This window comes from Homo sapiens, chromosome 20, assembly GCF_000001405.40.
Source record: "Homo sapiens chromosome 20, GRCh38.p14 Primary Assembly".
NCBI classification, from domain to species: domain Eukaryota; kingdom Metazoa; phylum Chordata; class Mammalia; order Primates; family Hominidae; genus Homo; species Homo sapiens.
This window is the reverse complement of record NC_000020.11, coordinates 20,211,620-20,238,090: the sequence shown is the minus strand read 5'-3', so window position 1 is coordinate 20,238,090 and position 26,471 is coordinate 20,211,620. Positions and strand designations below refer to the sequence as shown.

The following is a 26,471-nucleotide window of genomic DNA, read 5'->3' as shown; positions in this document are numbered from 1 at the left end:
AGAGACTTTTGGACAAGGTCCTGAGCCATTAATTTAATTTGTTTATTTTAAAAAAATTTTTATTTTGGAGGATTTTAAATATACACGAGGTGAAAAAAGCTTAGCAATGACTAATATTGTGCTGCTTTGAAAATACTCACCAACACTGTAGTGGTTGGAGTAAACACCACACATTGTATTATTTCATCTTAAATTCTCTAACATGCAAGAACCTAACAAGAAAATGAATTTCAGAAAACGGGGAAGGTGCAGGAAACTGTTAAGTATTAAAGAGATTTCAGGGGCACATTAACCAAATGCAGTAGTTGGACCTGGTTTGCATCCTTATCCAAACCAACTAACTGTAAAAGAACAATTTTAAGACCACTGGGAAAACTGAGCACGGACTGGTATTAGATGATATTAAGGAGTTATGGGGTATTTGTTCGAGTGTGTTAATAGTACTCAATCCATTTTTGTTGTTAGTAAAAATTAAACGGCAGCTGCATCCATGGCCACAAAGTTGTTGGTCATGACACACTCTGACCTCCAGGGGGAGACCGAAGAGAGAGATCCACAGAGGAGGTGTGGGATGGAGGATTCTGAACACATCTAGAAGGGAGTGGGCAGTTCGTGGGGTGAGACAGAGGTTACAAGCTCTCTCCCTGACCCTACTTCTCTCTTCTCTTGGGTGCCATCTTGCCCAGCTCCACCTTGGGTGGCTCAGAGCTCCCTGGTCCTGGAGCTCCTGTAGGAATGAGGATGCGACCTGGAGAAACGGGGCAAGGAGCAAGTCTCGTAAGGTACCCTGAGTCTGGGTGTGACTCAACCCTGGACCCGACACTAAGGTAGAAGTGTCTGCCTGGAGGGCCCTGGGTGCTCTCTGGAGTCCTCGGGGACCTGGCAGGGGAGGGGCATGGTGGCCAGGATAAGGGGCTAGGTAGAAGTTCAGGATCTCAGATAAAAAACTTATGTATCACAAAATAAACACATAAATCCTTACTGAAAAAATGAAAATGCATGCCATTCTTGAAATGTCAATTGAAAAGATAAGAATAAAATTTGGGAGTTCTGGCAAAACAGATGAAAATGAAATTGAGCTTTCCTTTATAATTTAGGGGAAATGATTAATGATGTTTTTATCTATGTCTAGGAAGTAAAAACATTATACATTTATACTTTAAGCATATGTTTATATATACTGAGCACATACCAGATGTAAATACCAAGATGGTAGCTATCAAAGACAAGCCAGAAAGCCCTTGCACATGAGAGATGGCAAAATACAAGACACAAATCAATTTGTTCCTTAAGGATGGAATCATGGAACATTATGGGAATTCAAAATCCAGTGGGATCACTTCTGGTTGGGGAGGATGAAGAAGAGCTTTGTGTTTTGGGCAAATGCTGGCTATTAGCAAGGCTTTAATAACACCACATGGGCAGGTTTTTTCTTGGGCCTTCCTTCTTAATGGTGATAGTTTAAGCATGAGACTTCGTGAAATGCTTTCTGCTAGGTCCAATTTAGCATGTTAATACTATGAATATGGGTTCAGCTATATAATGTTAATAATAACTTAAAAATTAGGCCTGGTAAGCCCCAAAGTAATGATGTGACTTAGAAGTTATATGATTCACTAAGAATTAGAAAATGTGGTTTGGAAAACAAGCCCATAAAAATGAGTTAGTTACAATGAGCAATTACAGGGGGAAATAGGTTTCCTTATAGATGAGACTGCCAATTTTGAGCAAATGTCTATAAAAATGGCTCCTAAACCCACCTGCATGTTGGAATTACCTGGGGATTCTATTAAAAATACTGTACATATTCCTGAAACCCACCCCAGGCCTACTGAATTGTAACTCCAGGAACAGGGTCCCAGGACACTGTATTTGTACAACCCTCCCCATCCCTATCCAAGTGGCTGTGATGTGCAGAATTGTAGAGCCTGGAACTTTTGCAATCTGTTGCTTATAGAAACAGTTACTTAATATTAACCCTAAAATCTCAAAAGGTGATTCACAACATTTTCCTCCACCACAAGTTCTTAAAATAAAAAGGAGAATTCAAACCATTTTTTTCAAGCCTATGTCTTACTATACTGGTAAGTGTTGGATTATCTGTTTGAAAGGCATTATCTTCAGAGAAGTACACTTAGAGAGAAACCTGGTCTCCAGAAGCCATCTGCTGCATAGATGGCTTTGCCTGCTCTGGGTCTCACACAGAGGCTCACGGTCTTCCCACTCCCCAGCAACGAGGACCACCTGTCACCTCTACTGGAGGGCCCTCATGCCTGTGTTTTCAGGCGGGGCTGTTTCTGGGCTTCCCTTCCAAATTTCCACCCAACATCAAATGCTGTAAGTTGGGGGGCAGTTTGATATGTCCTTATTCCCTCAATCCTCTTGTGCATCATTTTATGTGCGCCAAGATAAAAGAATTATGGCCCTAATCCTCCCTCCGCAGGGAGGAAATAAAGTGGCTGGCAGGTGCAGAGCTGAGGAAGTGGGAAAGGGTGCACAGCTGAGGGTGTATGATGCCTTTGCTTTTTTGGGAGTGAGGCTGCCCATGAGAAAAGTGGGGATGGGAGGATGGTGCAGGAAGGGTAAACACCACATCGGCCTGGTGGCATTGGCCGAGTGTGTCCCTGCAGGTCTCGTGAAGACACACATTGCTGGGCCTGATTCCCAGAGTGTTTCTGATGCAGGAGGTCTGGGTGGGGCCTGAAAATCTGCATTTCTAACAGTTCCCAAGTGATGTCCATACTGCTGGGCCAGGGACGGCACTTTGAGAGCCTCTGTTCAAGGAGGAGAGAAAACTGAGAGGCTCCTGAGAGTTTGGGAGTCTCAAGAAAGGAGGGGAGAGTTTAATGTAAGTTTCTATGAAGGAAGTTTATGATCCCATTAAATATCTGAGAGACATGAGTCTCTTAGGAGGATGTTCTGCAGACTCCAGGGAACGTCTCACCAGGAGTCAGATGCAGCTGCGGGTGGGAAGCACCTCCGGCTCCCCCAGTCCTCGGGGAAGAGGGCATCCTCCACGTGGAGGAGACTCCAGCTCCCCAGCCACTTCCCGCCTTTGAAAGTCAATGCAGGCTTCCATGGGGATCTAGACATGCAAATTTAATTAGTGGGGAGGTGTCCGTCTAACAAGTGTCAGCACTAGGCCTTTGGACAGATGCTTGACATTTGCTACCTGACTGTATGCTCAGGCTGGTGTGTGAGGAGGGATTCTGGGTGCCTTCCCTGCAGCACAGGTGAGGAGACTGAAGTTCTGCGTTTTGGAATCACTCTCCTGGGCCCTCTCCACTCCACCGTCGCTTCTGACTTCCTTGACCTGCCGCCTTCCCTGGAGGGCTGGGAAAGCAGAGCCTGGCCCTACCCCCAGGTTTCAGATTCAGTCCCTGGAGAGTGGGGCCTAAGTATCCCCACCTCTGACAGCTTCCCAGGTAATGCTGATGGTGCTGGGCCACAGACTATGTTTCGAAAACTACTGATTCTAACCTTATCTCCATCCCAAAGTAGAAATAAAGTATTTGCTAAGACAAGGTCCTTAAATGCCATCTCTTTTCCAGCAAAACTTTCTGATAGTACACCTGTGTCCTCTTCAGAACTGCAAGAAACCCACAAAATCCTCTCCCCACAGCCTTCTTACCTAACCCTTGCTTCTTCTCCATCATCGTCTATGCCAAAGTTTCAGTAAAAGGCAACTTCAAGAATATTAACAAGGAAGAACAGAACAAACTAAGCAAACTAAGGGACCATAAGGGCACTCCAGAGATAGTGCTGGGGCCTACTCACCTCACCCTGACCCACCTGCTCACCTGCAAGGGGTCTCCTGTCTGCCTCTCTCTGCCCACGGCCATTCTCTGACCTCAGATGTCCACAGTGGGGACCCACTGACAAGGGTGTCTTTTGGCTTTGTGGCTATCCTCACTTCCCTGTCACACGGCCCTGCTCTCAGGCAGTTCCCTAGGATCACTCCCAAATAAACTACTTGTATCCAAATGCTTTGTTTTCAGCTTGGTTTGAAAGAATGCAAACCAAGACAGGTACCAATGTCATTATTTGAAAATCATCCAATAACAAATGATGAAGACTGAGGAGGCGGGTGTACGACTCAGATCCGGGTACATGGTTTGTGCTTTGTGTGATCATGAAAAATGCATTTCCTACTTACCTTTAATGCCAAAGAATCACAAAGCACCCACAAAAAAAGGACAATAAGCTGATCTTCCCCCGTCGAAAAGGCCTAATGTTGCTCAAAGTGGATTGCTTTGCTTTTGTTCTGGGAGTCTCTAATGTGGGTATGAGGAGATAAGTTATACTGAAACGAGCAGGGGTGAATAATTTCAGTAAATGAAGGTGCTTTTATTTAACATTAATTACATTTAAATATTGGAGTCGAATAGGAAACCCCATTGTGATTAGTGACACCAGGGTGAGTTCTGGATCCTTATTCTCTGGTGGCAGAATGTCAACTCTTGCTGCCTGGGGAGACTGAGACTCTGAGCCTGGCAGGTAAAGCTCCTTCCACCGTCCCCTCTGCTCTGGCCACCAGACCAGCCTCTGCACCAGAACTGATGTCCCGTATGCCCTGTGGATGTCCATCTCCCATATGCCCCCCTGTGGATGTCCGTGCTGCCTGCTGCTTGGGCACATCGGAGGACGGCCCTGCACATGCCCTGGGCCTCGCTCCCATGCCGTTTTTGCACAGCGCAATGAACAGGGCAATTGCGAGGCGCACACGTGCAGAGACCGACAGGACGGGGAGTCACAATCACAAACCTGTCCATTGCGGTTGAGCTCTGAGATCAGCAAGGAAGCACTGACTATTTAATTAGTCACCTAATTAGTGACAGGCCACACTGAAGGTTTCAGATGTCCTCAGACAAATGTAAAGATAAAAAGCCTAATTAAGCCGCCAGCGCTAGGCTGGCTGCTGCCAGAGCCCACAGCTGTGCCGGATATTGTGCGGAACTGCACGGCCCGATAACAGGAGTTGTGGTCATTGCCACAATTGCAGCTTTAGAAACATGCCCTGCTTGGTCCAAGCTATTCTTAGTTACCTCGACACATTCAACCAGATGAGGGGATCAGTGTCTAGGCTGAAAGTCTGAGGCTGCATCTTTTGCTGGATGATTTGGTCAGTTTTCGAGAAAACTCTTCTGAGTGGTGGAAGTGGAAGACAAGGGGAACCCGGGCTTTCCAGTGCCCACCGGTGCTTCCTATGAATCAGTGTTTCTCTCTAGTCACACGGAGGGTCGCGGGGACACCAGCTGGGCTGCTTTCAGTCACTGTCATCCATGACTCCAGTAAGCATTTTTCTAGTGCCATTACAGGCTCTTCAAAAGATTCTTTACGTCGGGATTAAATTAGGAAAGAGTTAAAAATAATGGATTAAAAAGGAACTTTCCCATAATTAGGAGTAAATACTATAAAACACTGAAGCATAGAGACTCGTGCTGAAACAGAAGGGGACAGCAACTGCCTCAGCTCTATGAACGCAGGCCCAGGAGACAGTCAAGATGCTGTTCTGCATAATTCTGGAAAAAAACCTGTTTGGGACACTGGGGCAGGGCCTGAGGTTGTGCATTTCTAACGAACTCACAGGTGATATCAATGCTGCTGGTCCACGCGCCACACCAGGAGTGAAAGGATGCAGAAACAGAAGAGAGGTGCATACACCTGGTTCCGGCTCCTTCTCTTCTTCTTCTTCTTCTTTTTTTTTTCTATTTTGCTATAGCATTTATATAATTAAAAAAAAAGGATTCTGGAATATCTTTGTGGAAACCTGAAAGAGTCAAAGCACTGCAGTTGAGGAGTTCAGCAATGCTAGACTTGGTGGGAGTTCACTTTATAGTGAGTTCACTTTACAGATCTCACCCTGAGAGGGTTTGTGGAGTTTCTACCGTGGTGGCGCCTTCAGGCTGGCAGGACCTGGGGGCCCCTGCTGGGACTCTCCTTCAGCACAGATGAGGACAGTTCCTCCCTCAGGGCTGCAACACTGCTTGGCAGCAGAGGTGGGCTAACGGCTGAGGCCAAGCTCTTTCTGCTTTCTCCAGTGGTTGGAGGTTTTAAATAGTCTTATTAATGGAAGCACCGAGAAGGAAAATGCACATGTGACATCATAGTGTCCGAGCCAGGAACTTTCAGTCCCAAAGAACGGGGTGGCCAAATGAACACAACCCACCAATCACAAGAACAGTCATTTAAAAATAATCCAAATCTATCACTTAAATGTCTTGGGCATTATGAAGAACACACAGTCTTAAGATCTGTTCTTTCCCCTCCAATTCACGGCCCTCTACCCCATAGTACAAGCTGGTGTTTTCTTCCTCAATGCCCTGCAATGCAAGAGCACCACCCCACAGCCCTAGCCTTGCCCTGCCCAGCTCCTGATCCTTGCCACAAACACGCATGCTCCTGCGCTGGCTGGGCAGGTGACAGGAAAGAAGGCTGGGTCCTTTCCTCCTGGGCTCCCCTCAGAGGCCAAGTGCACCAGACAAGGGGGGAGGGAACCAATTAGCTGAGCCCACCCCACCCTGGATGACGCTACGCCCCTGCCCATCTCCACCCCTGGAGGTCTCCCGCAGGGCTGAGGGAGACTGTAGAAGCCTCTGAGAGCAGGGCCACTGGCTCCTCGGCTCTGCTGGGGATCACCAGGGCCAGGAGCAGGAGGGCACGGAGGACAGCAGGGGAAGTAAAAGACTGGGATCCTGGGACACCCCAGGAAAATGCCTGCCATGCATGTCTCCCGGTGCTGGAGGGCCCAACAGGCTCCTCCTAGGAAGGACAAGACGCAGGACTCAGGCCTGACAACCACAGACAAGGAGATGTGTCTGTGCAGATTAACTGCACACAGCTAGCAGATAAAATAGCATACTTAAAAAAATAAAAAGTCAGAACACCACCACAGTATTGCCTCATCACATGGAGCTTACATCCTAGGGAATATCAGGGAGTGAGTTTGGGCAAAGCACTTCAGCTCTCCCAGTAGCACCTCAGCACTTGGGGAAGAAAGGATAGGAATTTACACAAACTGCTTTTGGTGTCCTTTGAAGAGGAGACCAAATGTGTTTTATAATTTCTTGCATGGAAATAATACAAGAACAAAGTTGTGTTTGTTTTGTTGTCAGATGACAGAATTACCAGATTTTCTGGAGAAAGAGGTTACTGTCCTGAGCCTCGAGTGGATTTTCCAGGAATGATGATGCCCCTGCTGAGTCTGACAATGCAGCTCAAGACTACAAGGAGGCAGCAGGGCGCTGTGGCCCCTGCCCGTAATCCTAGCACTTTGGGAGGCCAAGGCGGGCAGGTCACTTGAGGCCAGGAGTTCGAGACCAGCCCGGCCAACATGGTGAAACCCAATCTCTACTGAAAATACAAAAATGAGTCGGGCATGGTGGCTTGCACCTGTAGTACCAGCTACTTGGGAGGCTGAGGCAAGAGAATCGCTTGAACCTGGGGGGAGGCGGAGGTTGTAGTGAACCGAGATTGCTCCATACACTCCAGCCTGGGCAACAGAGTGAGACTCTGTCTCAAAACAAAAACAAAAACAAACCAAAAAAGACTACAAGGAGGCTGATTCTCCTAAATTTTGCTTCCAAAATGTAGATTCAATCCTCATTGGTGGTCAGTGTTGGGTGAAAACTGTATTTCTTCATTTCAGCTCAAATCATGTATAAAATTAAGTTCAAATGGCAGTTAAACTGGGAAAGTAAAATACGCAGTAGGTTACCATGGTGATTGCTGACTTAAAATAATTAGAGAAAATAATGAGAAAACTATTTCCTCTCTTAAGGATTAGAGATCTGTAAACTGATACCAGTCTATTTTTAGTGTACGTAATCTGTGTAATGATGATAGAGAATTATGAGTATTTTAGAATGCTTTAAAAAGCTCTGTTTGATTGGGAAATTTAATCGACCCAATACTTACATCAAAATTTATACTTGTCTTTATTAGATCTAAGTTGACTCCACAAAAAGAAAATTACTTGTATATGTCTCAATGTAATCATTTAAATAAAACATTATGACTAAGTATATAGCTGAATTAAGATTTAAGACCTGTTTATAACTTCTTAACTGCTATAATTTCACAGCTCCACCTTAATAATTCATCATTCGAAAATGGTTGCATAAAACTTGCTGTTCAAAAGTTTTCGAGGAAGAGACCCATCAGAACAAGTAAAGCACTCAGACTATAACGTGGCATACCCTGGGAATGGAATATTCCTAGGTGCTTCTCATCATTTCATGCTTGCAGTGAAATATTGCTGCAGACTGACCACATTATTCAAAGCACATGAACTCTGTTACTAACTTCAGTAATGACTCATAATTTATTTCTAGTTACCTAAGAGTATGTTCTGGAGAACTGAACAAACTGGCTAGAAAGTGAAAAAATCAATTCTTTTTTTATCTGGTTAATGTGATGTTAAATGAGCAAAATAACCACTTGGGATTAGCTCGTCTCCACGTTAACCAGGCACATACACCTTTTGAGGGTCATTTCCTCCATCCATTTGCTTACCCAGCCCTTCACAAGGCCCCACCTGTCCTGAGCTAAGAACTCTGCTGGCTTCCAGAAGAGTGATGGTAGGCTGCATTTTCCCATCTCCTGCTTACCTCTCAGCACCTGTAGTTTTGAATGGTAGCTAAAGTTTTTCATGTGATCCTGAGCAAAAGATTTGGAAAAACTGGACTCTTAATTCAGGGTTCTGTGGTTCCCAAAGTCAGGGTTTTAAAACATCTATGAAACTTTTTAAAAAATAAATGAAGATAGCGAGTTTGAGAGAAGCTAGACAATACACTGAGGGCTCCATGTTAGGTGCTGATGATGCCAGGCCATGATCCCGAGCTCTCAGACCCTAATCCAGGGTGTTTTCTATTAAAGAGGTGCTCAAGTGAGCACATGGAGAGAGAGACTGGGGATGCTGGAAATCCCTGAGCATCACCCATCAGAAAAATGGGCTCTGAAAGGAAACCTTGTTTAGTGCTTTGAGGGGGATGAGAAAACAGCATCAGAAGAGATGCACAGGCCTCCATATTCCCTGAAGGGTTTTACCTGTTCCAGGGGATCCAAAATTCAAGGGCTGGAAGAAAGGTCCTGGCCCACATGCCATTTCTGAAAGTGTATTTGTAATGTATGAAGTCAAAACTCATTGCCAAACCTGCCTGATTATGTGGAGTGTCTATTGACATACAGATTCCTAGACCATTCCCCAGGAGTCCAGATTCTGTAAGTTGGGTGCAGGATCTTGGAATCTACATCTTTAACAAATGCTGCAGGTGGTTTTTGTGATCGGGCCAGTAAGGAAAACATTCCTTTAGAAAAGGGGTCAGTAGGCTGTTTCTGGGAAGGGTGAGACTGTACATATTTTAGGCACTGAAGGCCATATGGTCTCTGTTCCAACTACTCAGCAGAGGAGTCTGCCATCTAATCTGCTATTGTAGCACAAAAATGGCCACAGACAACACATAAATGAGTGTGGCTGTGTTCCAATAAAGCTTTATTTACAAAAGCAGTTGGCAAGCCAGGCCTGGCCTCAGGGCTATAGTTTGCTAACCCCTGATCTAGAATATTCTTCTACTGATTCATCCATCCACATAGGCAGGGTGTGTGGAGTACCAAACAATCTCAGGTCTGTTCTCTGATGGTGTTCTCTTCAGATGTAGGAAGATAATTTTTATTATTTAAAAACCAATCAATCAATAGAGTGAAACAACTCACCAAAATACCAATGTCTCTAGGAAGGAAATTCCAACACTGGATGCACCAACCACAATGATCTTGGCATTGACAGTAATTTTAGGTTCCAATGTTAGTTTTCTGTTTGTATGGTTTAAAGCATAACTCATCTGGAAAAAAAATACGAAGACAAAGAAGGAGTCAAAGAAAACGTAGCAGTGTTCATACCCTCAAATTTGCAACTATGTAGAATTATCTAACCAGGACATTACCACCAAAACAAACCTAATAGTGCCCATGTACAGCCACCATAAAATGCATGGGAAGATGTTTTTAAGAAATTAATGTAAGAACATGTGGATATGCCTGACATCCCAGCTAGGTCACATCAAAATGCTGGTTTTCAAGATGTTGTCTTAATGCTGACAGATGTTTCATACAGAACTGAGATCCTTAATGATTAGAGACAACTAGTAAGTAACACTACAAGGAGACAGGCAAGCTACTCCCTGAGAATCTGTAGTTCCATGAAAGGTCCCAAGTCTTTTCTTCTGTCCACAGTTTCCCTGAAACCTTGAGTGACAAATTATATTAGTTGGGTACTTGAAGACAAGTTTTAGCTCATGTTCAATTCTCTGTCCCTCACGTTACTTAACGCGGTGTCTTGTGGACAGTAGATGCTCAATAATATTTGTAAAATGGCAAACATTTATTAAATGGCAAAAATGCATTCAATTATTAGGGTTGTTCAACCTTTCAGATACTTCAGAGTCAGGAGGCCTCTCAGAAGCACAGAAAGTAACTGGTGATCATGTTAATGTCCATGTTTACAAAAATTACCTGAATTAGTCATTGATTTCATTTACTTCCCTGCAGAAGCTGCAAGGGGTACATTAAATGTGCAAAGTAAAGTTTTACAAAGAAGTGATAGAGTAGTCTTGGAAGAACATTGGGATATGTGCCAAAAGATCTTGGTTCTATTTTTAATCCATTGATTCAACACACATTTTTTGGTGCTTACTATGTGTCTGGACAGTGACAAAGATTACAGCTGACTTCTCATTGGAAACAATGGTGACCAGAAGTCAGTGGAAAGATATTCTTATCACCTCATCCCATGCTGTTAATTACATCAGCATTAACTTCATCCTCTACATCAGAAATCTCCGCATTCTGATAGGTCAAACCTGCTTTGGATTTTCTTAAAACCCTGGGATACCAGGAGTTGGAAGTCTGACAGAATAATGGTAAAGTCTTATTTGGGTTCCCACCCACTTTCCAGTACTGTAGGGGTATGGGTGTGGCCATGCGCTTTGCCATTTAAAGGTAACATCTCAGATCTAGAGCTTAAATCCCATTTCTCTGTCTCTAGATAGCCTAGCAACATGGAGGAAGGAAAATGGCTTGAGCCAAACAATATATTGATAGAAATTTAAAACAAAAGTGGGAGATTCAGACTCCATAATTAACATTGCTTGTACCTCTCAACATCTGTTCCACCCTACAACTCCCACCTTTAATTTGGCACAACACAGATTTCGGAAGAGATTGGACTCACTCCCATTTTCAAGAGGGACTCTGATTCACGTAAACCACGTGGCATACTCCCACTCTCTTTCCTCAGTGACTGGGTCAGGATACACATGTGACCTAAGTTGACCTCATCAGAGTGAAGCCCAGGACTTTTGCATGATAGTTGAAGAAGAGAAGCCTTCTTGTTTTCTAGATGGCACGTGGTGTAAACGTGAAACCTGAAATGGCTATGGTCATCATGCCAAGAGGGAAACCATCCCAGGTTGAAGCCCCAAGAGAATCACACAGAAATAGAACAGGAATTCTTTTCAAACCCTACCCGAAACCCATACTACCTTTGGACTCTTCAGTTATATAAGCAATACATATCAGTCAGATATTGCCACAATAGGGCTGTGAAACCACTTCAAAATGCATTGGCTTAAAACAACTGTCACTTATTCTGGCTCATGCAATTCTAGGTCAGCTGGAAGTAGGCTGATCTAGGTTGGACTCAGGTGGGTCTGGCTCCAATTTGCAGATTCCAAACCTGCCTCACATTTCTCTTATTTGATGCAAGAGAGCCAGAGCATGTTCTTCTCACGGCAATGGCAGAAAAGTGAAAGGTAAGTGAAAATAGGAATACTTTTAAAATCTGGCCAAAGCAAGTCATGTAGCTGAGCCTAACATCCATGAGTTAGGGAAATATACTCACCTTTAGAAGGAGGAACCTCAAAATCACACAGCAAATGACACAGCCCAGGGAGGGATGAAGGCTGGGAAGAACCACACAGCCCACTGCACTTCCTTGATTGTTTAGGCCAGTTTGTTTTTTATATGCTACTGAAAACTTCCTAGATTGATATAGTTTCTAAATGAAAATAATAAATATACCATTTGGGTGAAAAAGTGCATGTTCTTCAAATAAACGTCAGTTCTGATTTGCTCTATGAGAATTTCCTAGCACAGATCCATGAGGAATTGTGCGAGAAATCTAGTTCCTACTGGTTCACCTGGGTGCCAGTGTGTACTGTACTCTGCTTAATTTCCAAGACAGGCAGGCTGACAGCAAATACACTCTAGCCAGCCTTAGGTTGGGTGGTCTAGAGCAAGGAAGGTGGGAAGCATATGTGTTGTAATGATGGCATCTAATCGCAGGTCTAGTTAACAGATTTAAAATGCAAGCATCTTGACAGAGGTCAGAAGCCAAGATTCTTTTCAAAAGGAGATATGTTCAGACATTCCCCTCTGCTGTTGGAAGTGTAAGCTAACATTGAAACATGGGCAGTAATGAAATTCTCCAGTAAAGAATTATACCTCATTTATGAAACAGCTCCTCTATCCGTGATACAAAGGCAGGCTGGGGAACAGAACAGAATGGCTTTTGTTTCCCACACAATAGCTGTAACACCAACAGCTGCCGGGCCTCACACATCACCTTTCTAACTGCTAAGTACACAAAGTGGCCTCCGGTGTCAAGAGCAGGCAACCAGTACCAATGATGGTGGGTGTCTCAGGAGAGTGATCAGGCATCACAATGATTCACAGTCAACCCAATTTTGTGCCCAGGTTTTAATTAAAAACATATCCATCGCCAGGTATGATGAAGTCTTCTGACCTGAAAAAATCGTGTTTTTCTTTTATTAGTACAGACGGTTTTTAAATGCCTTGAAAAAAATTCTTCCCAGCCTGGAAACATCCTTCAGTGACAACTGTAAATGAAGATGGCTTCTGCTGCTTTATGAAGGGTTTATTTTGCACAGAAGCAGGAAGCACAGGTTATTTTTTAATGAAAGCAGAATATTTTCTTCCTTTATGTTCCTTCAAACTACAAGTTTTCATGGGAAAGAAAAACAGACATGCAAGATCCTATGAGTCAAGCCAGCTTTTCCTTTTCTCCCTCTGAACATCTGCCAAAAAATGTCCCATGCATTGGAGATTCTGTTTTGGGTCTTATTTCCTTCATAGAAAGTAAAAATAAAAGCCCTAGTTCTTGACTCACATTTTATAGACAGAATTAAATGATCCTCATAATGGAAAATTATTTCAAAGATTAAACAGGGCGAATTGTAAGCTATTTACCTACCTACCATACCAAGAATAATATGGATGGGAAATCCAATTCTTACCTCCACATCCTTTCAAGACATTTCTATTTTTCTAATGGCATTAGGTTAGCATTTTAGACAAAGAGATTATTATTATTATTTGTTTTTCGAGATGGAGTTTTACTCTTGTTGCCCAGGCTGGAGTGCAATGGCGCGATCTCAGCTACTGCAACCTCCGCCTCCCGGTTTCAAGTGATTCTTGACAAAGGGATGATTTTAAGTGTAGAGATCAACAGTAACCCAGCAAGATAAAACAAACCATACAGCATGGTGTATAAGCTAACCTTTTAAGGCTAAAAAAAAATTCCTTAAAGTTGATGTCAACTCTCATAATGACTTTAAAATACAAACCATAGATTCCATTGCTTAGGTAGGAAAGGAAGGAATGATAGTATTTGATACTCCTGTTAGGAAATTCTAGAGTTGAGCTTGGGGGTTGCGGGGCGGGGAGGAATGTGGAAGATTCGGAGGTCAGATGGGAGGGGAGACCGGCTGAGATGAGAAAATAGGGAAGAGAAATGAGCAAATGTTAATGTTTTAACCTCTTTACCTATAATTCCCTATGAGCTTCTGAAATAAGACTGTACATGTGAGTAGCTGAGTCACTACTGGAGGAGTTTGTGGTTGCTTTTATCCATTTATTTGGTTGCCTGCCACCCTACAACTAGACTATTAACTCCTAGAGGTCAGGAACTATGTCTTTGCGTTTTGAGCATTTGCTGTATTTTAGCTGAACAATTTCTGCCATGCATTTTGGGGCACTTGGTAAGTGGTAAAAGAATAGATACATCAACTTTGTGTTTCATGGACCCTTTTTAAAGGGTGTTGACATAATTTCTGTATTGCAAATTATTTTAGTTGGTTCATTTCCATTTGCTTAAATGGCCAAATGAATAATCTGGATGTAATTATAACTACTTAGGATTAAATTTGATCTTTTTAGTAAAGATGATGTTGATGTGCACACTCAGTTGAGTTTATGTCATGATTCAGATACATTTGTCAAGAGAACTGAAATACACAGTTTTGAGTTTTAGGCACATTTGTTAACTGTTCTGTGTGTATAGAAAAAAATTGGTCAAAATATAATTTCATTGGATATACATAGACCCAAGTTCCGTGTTTCCGCATGTGGTTTGGTTTCTCTTCTGCACTTAGAATGAATTAGAATGACTACAAAAGCATTACTGAAACTCAATTTCAATGTTAGATTCAAAATCGGGAGTTACTAAAACAATAAATAGGCTGATACACTAGAGAGCAATAAAAATAAATACAAATGATCCTACATAATACATACAAGGTTCATACTAAAATGGATCATGATGCTGTCTATCTATGGTGAATTTTTTCTTATTATAGCATTTCTTTTGGAGGTTACATTCAACCTTTGGGATCATTAGCCTGGGTGTCATTAGCTTGGTGGCAAGGTTTAGGCTTGTTTTCTTAATTTTGCCACTGGTTGAAATTCTGAGCCTCTTTTTCCTAAATATCAGTTTCCTCGGGTATAAAATGGTAGTAAATTACATGAACCTCTGCTTTCCTCAGCAGGCAAACATGGGAACCAGTCTTTTAAAAATGTCTGCAAATACTTTGAGCTTTTCAGGCAAAGATGTTACACAAGGTAAAATTGCAGATCCTCTCTCCCATCTGCAATATGAAAGGCAAATCTTTGAAAAACACGTTTGAAAAGGGCAAAACAATGAGCTCAATTTTCAGCTCACACCCATGTGTATATATATCTTTTCTTACAGAAAGCTTCCAAACACTTCAAAGGGAGCTCTGTCCATACAAGGAAATGAAAGATGGAAAGATTCAAACCCATTAGGAATAAAATTTCTGAAATCCGTAATAAGCCTACTTTTGCTTTATAAATGTAATTTTTCTGATGCTTCTCTATCTCTCTTTTCTCCTTGAGAAACTCTCGTTTTCCCAATTTGAGCAAAACAAATTATGACAGATTTACAGTGGTGCGGCTCAAAGTTCAAGTTGACCTCTTTGAGGCAAAGTATTGCAATATTACAAATAAATAAAGGGTAGGGGGGTATAGACATTTTAAATAGAACCAATCAGTTGGAATCTCTTCCACAGGCATAAAATGCAATTCAAAAAGCCTTTCTACTAAAATAATTAAAAAGTTTCAAAAGTATGATATGAATACCAACACCTCTGTCCCGCAGAGCATAAGTCTGTTGAGGTCATGCTGTGGTTTTGAGACTTGCTTTATGAAGGATTCACTTAACTTTCCTCTCGGTTGGGGGTACTGGGAAGCTCAGAACAATTTGGTAGCTCCAGCACTTCGGAAAAAGTGTAAACTGTTGTGTCTGTGGTATCCACTGAGGGTAACGGTGATTCTAGGACACTGGCTTTTTTCTTAACACTGGATAGAGCATACTCAAAATCATGTAGCAGGGGTCAAAGAGTGGGCCATGGTAGCCTCTATGATTCAATGAGTAAATTTCTTTCACTTCCATTTTTCTTATATTTCTCTTTTCAACTCCATCTGTCTCAATCCCTCATATACCCATATTCCCTATTTGGGCATTATCATTATTTTGCATGTTTTTAAAAGCTAAAATTATTGCCACCCTATGACATTCACTTGTGGCCATTCTTAAACATTTATATTAGAAAAATGATTTGGAAGCTAAGTTGAGGGATTTTACCGGATTTCATCAATTCTAGTGTGCACATTTTTTTAAGCTGGTATTCCTGAAATCAGCCTTACAGTCAACAGCATTTCAACAGTAGCAGTCAGCCAGGCAGTAGCAGTGGCATAGTTGTCCTTACCTGTGCATGGGTGCTTGGCCATGGCTGTTCATTGTCATCACTTCAAGAGAGTCATGTGCATTATACGCACAATATGTGTTGAGTTTAAGTGCTTCTGACAATGTCTTCAAAAAGATTACAGCATGATTTGGCATTGAAATGAATGCTTATTGTTGTGTTCCCATAAAGGCCCAGAAACTGAGCAGCAAGGTGCAAATTTGATATTAGTGAAGCAAATATTAGTCATTGGAGGAATGGATGTAATTCCATGTTTTCTTGCAATGCAACGATTGAGTGCCTTTCAGGAGCAAATAAAAGATGACAAGGAGATGAAGCTGTGTTACATTTTGTTACTGAGACACATGCAAAAAAATTTTTCCACATCACCCAGCAAATAATGCAATTGAAGGGCACGTAAATTGCCTCCCCTCTCTGAATAGATGAAAGAAATTTCAAAGCACTAAGACTTATATGACTGATTCACATGCTGTTCAGGACTCTCATTTAGACGTTGTGTTACAATTTAATTGGCTGCATTTTTTTTCTTAATAGTACATAAAATAAAGGTACATCTTATAATTGATAGCAACTTAGATTTGATGAATTAGGTGGTTAATTCACTTGTTTCCAATTAAATAATAGCCCCCAAACAAGTAGCTCATATGATCATTAAAATATGATTGCCTTTATGCAATACACAAACATCGGCAAGGGAGATCCACTGTTGGCTTCTCTGAGACACTGAAATTCATTAATTCTTAATATAAGGCACATTAGCACATGAACCAAGATAACCTCAAATGGCTCCATGTCTCTCCTTTGCCACCTTGAGTAGTGTAAAGTGTTCAGAAATGGCCTCCGGGTTTCTGCAACATTCTACTCGAATCCTATCTGACATGTGTCAGCTAGCTGGCACTCCAGGTATCATTCTCAATACAGGGTCAGCCACAAACTGGAGAAATGACTTCTCTGGGGGTGAACACACAAGGAAAGGCAGGAATAAAGTAAATCCATGGCAGAAAAATGATGTACAGAACCAATTACCTGACTTGCATTGTTCTACAAGTAATAATTAGTACTACCTTACAGATATATGTCTTTAACAAACTACTTAACATCCAGCTACCTAATCATTCTCAAGCTCTATATCCCCATGAAAGAACTACTTGTACTGGAATAAAATGAGGACATGAGCTGAAAGGTTCGGGAAACACATTCAAAAGTGATGGAAGGCATTCTTCCTATTAAACAGTACCCTTCTGAAATGATGGATAGTTCTTAGAGAACAAAAATTGTCTTCCATGTATTAAACTACATTAAAAGGAAAACCAAACAAACCCTTACTTCTTTTACATTCTCTCAGAACACTTGTGATGCCAAATGTGTGAGTTTTTTTCCCACACTGACCAATTCTCTGACACCAGCAGGGTGTCTGTCCTATGATTCAATTCCATTCTGACACTGTCTACCTAGGCTTAGTCCCACAAGGCTGCTCCCTGTACCCCCACTTCACATGCCAATCGCAAGTCCATGTTGCCACCTGTACTTCTGACCGGCTGGCTATCAACTGGAGGTTCCCATGACCCCTGCTTAGGTTCGATAATTTGCTAGGATGGCTCACAGAACTTGGAGAAACAGTTTGCTAACTGTATTACTGGCCATTATAAAAGGGTGGGGCTCAGAAATAGCCAGCTGCACAGGGCATGGCAGGGGGAAAAGCACAGAGCTTCCATGTGCTTTCCAGACATGCCACCCTCCCAGCACCTCCAGTGTTTACCACCCAGAAGTTCTCCTAACCGCTTTGGTTAGGGTTTTATGGAGGCTTCATCGTGTAGGCATGGTTGATGAAATCATTGGCCACTGGTGGTTGAACTCAACTTCTGGCTCCTCTCCTCTCCGCGGAGGCTGGGGGGTAGGCCTGAAAGTTCCAACCCTCTAATGACATGGTTGGTTCTCCTGGCAACCAGCCCCCTTCCTTAGAGACTTTCCAAAAATCATTTTGTCAATATACAGACTCAGGTGTTGTTGTAAGGAGCTTGTAATCAATAACAAAAGATGCTCCTCTCACCTTTATTGCACCAGAGTTTTGTCAGGGGTGGGGAATGAAAACAAAATATGGTAACAAAAGATGTTTCTGTTGCTTTTATCATTTAGGAAGGTACAAGTGTTTCAGGAGCTCTGACCAGGAGCTGGGGACAGAGACCAAATGTATATTTATTTTATCACAATATCATAGCATATATAAGTTTATAATACACATTTTGATTATGAATGTCTTAATAATGAGTTAAGAAATCAAAGAAATATATGAACTAATCTGTGGTAAATTTATTCTCAGATTTTTGTGAAATGAAAAAAATTTATATTGTTGGTTGTTTTCCCATCCTAAAAACAGTAAGGGGAAGGTTTTTGGAGAATGTATGGGGCATCATCTAAGTACTATTTGCTTAAAGGAAAGAGAATTTCAGGTCATTTTTCTCTTTCCAATCCATATCATAAATGGTGGGACATATGATATATCAGAGATGCATTAACAGTTGCTATTTAGCCATAGACTTTAAAATATTTTGTACTTACTATCCTGGAAGTAGGCTGGAATCTGCCCTTATTCCTATAGAAACAACTTAAACTATACAGCAAAGAGTTACTATGCCAAAGAGTCATTTCTCCAACTAGAAAAGCAACTCTGGAAAAAAAATTTTGGGATAAAATCAATATTCTAGAGTCAAAGAACAAAATTTCAACAAATTGAGTTTCACAGATCTGATTGACTTTTATTAGCAATTCATGAACTGGGCAGCATCCAACCTACAAAACAGAAAGGAGCTCTGATGAGCTAGACAGAGTGGGTAAGTTTTATCGGCAGTAAAAAAGTGAAGGAATACAGGAACAATGAACAAGTAGTGGATTGGTCATTTCGATATTACTTTCCTTAGAGAGATGTAAGCAAAATCTTGTTGGCTTAATGGGATTTGAATATCACCTCTCTCCTGGTTTCTCAGAAGGTCAGATATTTCAAGCAAATAACCTAGTTTCAGATTGGTAAAGTGGAACTTTAGCACAAGTGACTCCATCTGGGGCCCACTATCTTTAACACTAGCAACAAGGACAGTCTAACTTGTTAGTGGGGAAGGCAACTGAATGTGTGAAGCAATTCTGAGGGCATTGAGATAACCTATTCAGTATCCTGATGTCTGAAATTCTACCACCAAAACTTTAGCAGAGCTTAATTCAACAATTTCAATTTGACAGATACATATCAAGGATCTACCAGATGCCAACAATTGGTCTAAATGCTGAGGTGTGAATGAGGCATGGTTCTTGTCTTTAAGGAATTCTCATTAGGTTGGGGGACAGACAAGTAAACAAATAAAATGCAGTACATGTGACAATGGTAGTGTATCAGGAAGCTACTGTTGTGTAACAAACCAAGCCAAAATACAGTGGGTTAAAAGAGTACGTATTCATTTGGCTCATGGTTCTGTAGGTCAGTAGTTTAGGCTGTGCTCACCTAGGAAGTTTTTCTGGACTCAGCTGGTGTATTAATCTGTTTTCATGCTGCTGATAAAGACATACCCGAGACTGGGTAACTTATAAAAGAAAGAGGTTTAATTGGACTTACAGTTCCACGTGGCTGGGGAAGGTCTCACAATCATGGTGGAGGGTGAAAGGCACTTCTTACATGGTGGTGGCAAGACAAAATGAGGAAGAAGCAAAAGTAGAAACCCCTGATAAGCTCATGAGATCTCGTGAGACTTATTCATTACCACGAGAATAGCACAGGAAAGACCAGTCCCCATGATTCAATTACCTCTCCCTGGGTCCCTCCCACAAGATGTGGGAATTCTGGGAGACATAATTCAAGTTGAGATTTGGGTGGGGACACAGCCAAACCATATCAGCTGGGAAGCCATGGAATCAGCTGAAGTTTAACTGTTCTAGGACAGCAGGAAAAGTCACATAAGGCAGCTTGGAGAAAGTGACAGTGGAGCTAAATTTAGCAGAATCAATGGGATATTTCCAGGTGAACAAGAGGGAACAAGTTTCTGGATGAGAGGGAAAAGCCAGGGCAAGGATTTGGAAGGATGACACACCCACTGACCCATAGGTCAGTCTACATGAATGGATTTGCAGATTATGTTCTGAGAGCAACCTTTGAAAGGAGAAGGCTGCATGGTCATGCAGAGGCAATACAAGAAGCAGACACAGAGGGAGACACAAAGGGAGGAGAAGGAGTTGGGACAAAAGGCTGGGAGGGAAAGCTGATGGCCAATTGTGTCCACACCACGACCTCCCTTCAGGCAACATTATTTGGTAAATCTCTGCACACAGAATAAGATGAGAACTTCTGTTCCCCCAGGGAATATGCTGTTTGCTCAGGCCCAGTAACTTAAGTGGCTATTTGCTCTGCTGGCTTAGGCCTCTGGTTCATTTGCTAGAACAACGATAGCAGTGGCAGAAAACTCATTTTTCTGAGAAGTTTGGTCCAAGTGAGTGCTGTTCCACAGATACAACTTTTCAATCTTGCTATCTTGCCACCATTTTCACTCCTGGATATTTATTTCATATTTATTTTCACTCCTGGATATTTTCAACACACATGTGTCCTGTGAGCAAGCTAACATGCGCGACTCTATTTTAAATTTCTAATGTGTGCCTCCATGCACAATTTTAGTCTTTCAGCTAGGCTCACTATTTCTGTTGACATCCAATTGTATCTCTGACTTAGTCTGAAGAAATTAAGCATATCTCTTTCATCTCAATGCAAACAATGGTTTGTATTCTCTTTCACATGACTTGAAAATTCTGTACACCAAAAGGCTCGCTGGGCTTTTGTAAAAGCAATGCACAATGATTGTTTTGAAAGAATAAGCCTTTCTGAAAATTCCTACAGAGTATGCTAAGGCTACAAAGTTCAAAGGAATTTGGTCAGATTCAATGGAATAGCCTCTTGGTTCAAGTGAAGGACTTGGAGGGAGGAATAAAACAAATCCACCTTCTTTTTAAATAGAAATGAAAAGAGAGCTAAGCAGAAACGTCAACAGGAAGGAAGCTGAAATACAATAAATGGGAGTGGCCACTGCTGAACACAAGTTAGAGAAACATTTTAATAAAACACACAAGGCTAATTTCAGTCACTCAGATACTTCACATCAGATCAGGGAAAATAAAGATCTAAGTCTTTACCGCTAATTCTTAGGAAATGAAGATCCCATCCCATGAAAAAAAAAAAATTGGTATAGAAAATTTCCACTGTTTTTCTTCTCATTCTTTGAATCAATTCCTGATGATTTTGACAGCAGTTTAAAAAAATGTTAATTCCATGCTCTCAATGGAAACTTTTCCAAAACAGTATTCAAAATATCTGAAGTAGTTACGAAAATAAAAATAAAACCCCCAACCAAGCAAACAGCAATAACAATACTGCTGTAATTAATCAGCACAAAAGGCTTCCCCATGCCCAGAAGTCCTGGCAGGGATGTGGGTTGCTGCTCATGAGAGTGACACCTATGTGATGACAGCTGTGACTTGCAGGGTGTCTGAGACTCCAAATACAAAACCAAACAGGAGTCCTCGGGAAATTCTCCCTTTTGCTCACTCTGTGTATATTCAAACACAAACTATTTTCAAAAAATTCCCTAAAACCCCTCTGAGTGGGATGGAAGGGACTAGGCAAGCATATTGCACTGTAATTAACACCCGTTCACCACTGACATCACACGTCAGTGTAAAGATAGGTCACGTACTTTTAATTTCTCACACGCACGTCAGCGGTAAACAGTCCCAGTGTTCGTGTTAATGACACCATCTGGCGCCTCCCATAACTGTGTAGCATTCAGCTTCCAAACAAGATGTAATGGCAGCAACACATGAAACCCACTGACATTTACAGTAAGGAAATTTATTATCAGTCATCGGTTTGGTATAAATGTGTTTGCATGACTGCTGGGGCTATAAAATCGTCACCTTTGCCAGGCAAGCAAAGGTGCAATAAATAATGGATTTTAAGCCATGCATGTACTACCAAATCATTAAACATTTATCAAACAGGCACAATAGCATCTTAAGCAACAGTTACCACTTGAAAAATTAATGCCACTTTTGAGGGTTAAATGAAAACCATATAGTCTAAGCCTTAATGATTTTTAATGTGGTTCAGTACAGAATATGAAGTTTTTTTATTTTTATTTTTAGTTGAATATGATATATATATATATAAATAGGTCTTCTATAATAATTTCCTCTTGAGGAAGAATCACTCTATGTTCTTTGGTTAAATACTAAAAAATACAATTGAAATGTTTCTTGAAAAAGAAATCATGGTTAAAACCTTTCAAAACTAGAAATGGCAAACAAAAGGGTCTTTAGGAGTCACGTGGTATTATTTTCTTTAAAATCCTTAATGGATTAGTCAGTGATGATTGCAATTAAACTATTTTAACTTTGGATTTAAGGAAACATAAAGTCAAAACCAACAAAATCCCCTGAGTATCCCAGCCATGTTTGTCCCTACTACTTATTCCTTCCAAATACTCTCCCCATGGCATGCCAGTGATTTCTCCAATATGCTTGTTCTATGGGTATCCGTTGTTTTAAGAACAAAATCCTTAGCAATAACAATTCAAAATACAGATAGATTAGAGGAAGGTTTCGTGGAGGATTAGAGGAAGGCTTTATGGAGGACTTATCAAAGAATAATTTTTGACTCAAAGAAACAAAGAGAAACCTGCGTGGGAACTAATTATTTATTTGCTTGCTGGACATGGAACAATGAAGGCAGAGAAGCCAGTGGCTGCTTTGACATGAGGCTTCCCGTGTGGGAGGTGAACCAGAAGCCAAGCCTGGACGGAGACTGTGCCATCAAGAGGCTCTGTCACGAGATGCCAAGATGAGCACGCGTCTCCAAAACAACACAATCTCAACATGCAAAATGATCACCAAGCAAGAGGAAACAGAGTGAGCCCTAGAGTAAGTGAGTGGCACTGTTTGAAGAAAAAAAAGTTAAGAAGTGACTGAATAAGAGATTTCTCTGTCAGTGTCTGAGTGGGGTTTAATTCCTTGGTGAGAGCTATTGCTTAGAAAGCCCCTGTAGTTTTATGAGTCTGCTCCCTGTGGATGCTTCTCTCTCTCCACTCTCCTTCTGCCTGCCCTGCGCCCTAAACAGGAAGCAGGTGCAGCGCTCTGCAGGCAAGATCCCTGTTGGGACAGAGGGCAGGATGTCTGCAGAATACTGAGGAGGCCAGGAGGGGAGCCCTGCTCCCAAATTTTCCATCAGTGGAAAGAAGTGTTGAGATTTTAGGCCTTCATCTCTAATAGTGACTGCTGTTTACAGCGGTCCAGGGGGCTGTGAGTCTTCTTTGTGTGACTTGGGGTTGAAATTCAAGGTTTTGTCAAGACCATGCATCTTCAGGGATGGCTTCCTCCATTGTTGGGGAGAATCCCTGTGGACAGTGTTCATCTTTGGAGAACTGAATTTAGGACTCAACAGAAGGGCTTGGGGTGGGGGGTCACAGAAACTAAGAGATCACTGCGATGCCCCTCCCTGAATACATACGTATTGCTCGTTCCAAGTCATGGAGGGAGAATTTTGGAGCCTGGCCTGGTCAGACTGAGGAGGGGGTGACCATTCTCCTGCCATTTCTGTTTGCAGGGTGAGGAAGTTGCCTGAATTCCATCTGTGTGCCCACATACACAAAGCTCTGTTACACAAAGGAGCTACTCCAGCGACTAACTTAAGTGGGATTATGTGGAAACGAACACAATCCACTGGGATGGTGGTACTGTTATGGAACAACACAGATTGCCTGAGCCTGGATATCAAAACAAAAGCACCGAGTATGGGAATTTTTCTCAAACAGCTTCTCTGTCCAGTATCCTGAGAGGGCCCCACACTGCCCTGTCCTTCCATCTGTCACTAATTAATTCAAATATTTCCTAGGGTTCTAGCTGCTACCTTACATCTTCTGGAAGTGACTATCAGGGCCCTCACAGAGGTAAAGAATCAATGAATAACTCCAAGAAGCCTTTGCTCATTTCTTTCAAAGTTGTGTCGCTTCCATAATACCTGATGAAACACTCTGCCTTCATATGAGGGGGCGGGGAGGGGGTGGAGAGAGAGAGAGAGAGAGATTGCACACCATGGCGAAAACAGCTCTCCTGAAGGGTGTGAAAAAACAGTTAACAACGAAGGGGAGAGAAACAAAAAGCTATTCAACAGATGCATGTCATTTTTACTCTTCAGTGTGGATCAGTTTTTCTTGTTAATTATATCACCTATTCTTTCCTTATATTGATAATTACATAATTACATGAAACAGATGGGTGACAGAATGCACCCAGATGGTGAGAACGTAAACAGGCTTACAAATTGCTTATTCTTGAGCATATTAAAAAGAATTATTTAATAATACATAGATTTCTATACTCTACACATCTGTTGAGTAGAGCCTTCAAAATGGGTTACTTTGTCATTTTTTTTTTTTTCTTAAACAGATACAGTGTCCTCCCTGGGAATTCCTGGGAGGCCAACTGCCATGGAGGTAAAATATTTCACCTTTTCCAAAATTTGGATTCCTGAAATTCTAAATTCATGTTCTGAGCCCACTGGCTTGCTTTTCCCCTCCCGTTTTGAGAAATAGCAACGGTGGTTTCAAGGGGAGTTACAATCACATGTAGCACTGGTTATACTTTCACAAGCTGGACAAGGTTAAAAATGGGAGGGTTTGCCTTGAGAACATATTTGACATGTTTTAATTGCATCTGATGGGCTTCTTGCATGAAATTCTTTCAAAATAATTATGAAACTAAGTCAAAAGCACCAAAGCTGCACGGGCTGAGTGTGTGTGGAGGCGTGTCTTTCAGAGGAGGGGCTCACAGGCAGCAGAGCCTTCTGGAGGGTCTGAGGGAAGAAGTGGCATTAGCTGCTTCCTTGTGGCCCACATGCCACCTCTGTGTTCTATGGAGTCAGGGCTCTGCTTAAATGATCCTGATCAGAGGAGTTGTACCTGCCCTGTTCCCACCCTCCCCTCCCGGGCTCTCCTCCTGATGGCACTTGCTGCCACCGGACACGGTGCCTCCTGGTCTGTTTGTGTACTGTCTGCTGCTCCAACTAGAACACAAGTGCTATGTGGCAGGGATGTGCCTATTTATGGCTGTCCCCACAGAGCACAGAGCTGGGCCCACCACATGATCAGTACACAACAATACTGACTGAATGAATGACATCAATTAACTCTCCACCACCAAGCCTCCTAACCAGCGAAGCAGAACAGGCCCTGTGCTTGCGGTTTCAACAGAAAAGCCTATCCAGGCAGGAGCAGGGAGTGACCAACAAGGGGACTTCTCAGTGGCAGGTGGGGGTGGAGGATAGCAGGGGTTCCTCTCTCAGTTGAAAAGCAGGTACAAAAGCCATGGTGTTTATCGGGCTCATGGACAAAAAGCAGGACACCTAGAAACATGGTTTGGTGGGGGTAGAGAAACAGGCTCAGGGAGAGACAAACCCACCTGGCTTCTGGTGCACACCTGGCTCTTGGTGAGGCAGGGGTGGGTCACAGAACTCCAGAATCAGGCTGTTGTCTCCCACCGCACCAGGAAGTGACGACATGTAGACGTGCTTGGAATTGGAAGTTTAAGCACTTCCCCGGGGCCAAACTTGGATGAGGATTGTGTGTACTCTGTGTGTATGTATTTACGTATGCCTGGTGTGTGTGTGAGAGAGATGGCTGGAGGGAGAGAGGGACAGAGAGAGAGAGTCATGAGAAGCATCTGAGTCCTCAGGGGCCTGGAGATCGTTTTGGAATTTGGGCTCTGTGAACTATGGCCGCCTTCCGCTCTTGAATGGGGTGGTGGAAGTACTGAGCTGTTAGAAGTCACATGGTCTGAAAGGGGCCTGCCAGCCTCGGTCCTACCAACACACGGTGACCAAAGACCCAGTGTGTGGGGATCGATGTTGTCTGCAAACAAATCAAAAGACTTGTGATATATAATTCTATGGGACATTGTCAGCCCATCTTTGGGACCTGCTCAACTGTGATTTGTGACAGATAATACTCAAATCCATTTTTTAAATCAACCGTCAACTCCAGTTTCATGAAAAGTGCTGTCCCCACAGATCCGTGAAGGGCGGTGGGAGGGGTGGTTTGCATGAGAGAGGAGCTCTGCTAAGGTGACTGGAAAGTGCTGCCTGAGACCTGTTCCCTGGAAGCACAGCTCTTTTTGGTTAAATACATAAACTACCATAAAAACCACAATTACAGTGACTACCATGGTGATAATTTCAATGCACTGAATTATATGAAAAAATAAAACAAACAAAACCTGGGACACAATTGAACAGCACAAGAAGTAGGAATGTGGCACAGTCTGTAATTTATGTTTATTGCCATGGGTTTCGACGGACCAAATGGCTCA

The 26,471-nt window shown here is 42.4% G+C and overlaps 1 protein-coding gene and 1 long non-coding RNA gene across 2 annotated transcripts in view; both read right to left on the bottom strand.

Annotated features, from left to right (window-relative positions):
• Nucleotides 1-26,471, bottom strand: part of CFAP61 (cilia and flagella associated protein 61) — a 308,167-nt gene that overhangs the window by 122,608 nt on the left and 159,088 nt on the right. The window contains exon 18 of the mRNA NM_015585.4: nucleotides 9,715-9,842. Within this exon, the coding sequence (NP_056400.3) occupies nucleotides 9,715-9,842 (128 nt within the window). The remainder of the gene's footprint in view (nucleotides 1-9,714; nucleotides 9,843-26,471) is intronic.
• LOC105372554 (uncharacterized) lies at nucleotides 4,327-6,145 on the bottom strand. The gene is made up of 2 exons (XR_937310.3): nucleotides 5,588-6,145; nucleotides 4,327-5,333 (listed from the first exon to the last, which is right to left on the bottom strand). It is a non-coding gene; the product is annotated as an uncharacterized LOC105372554 (long non-coding RNA).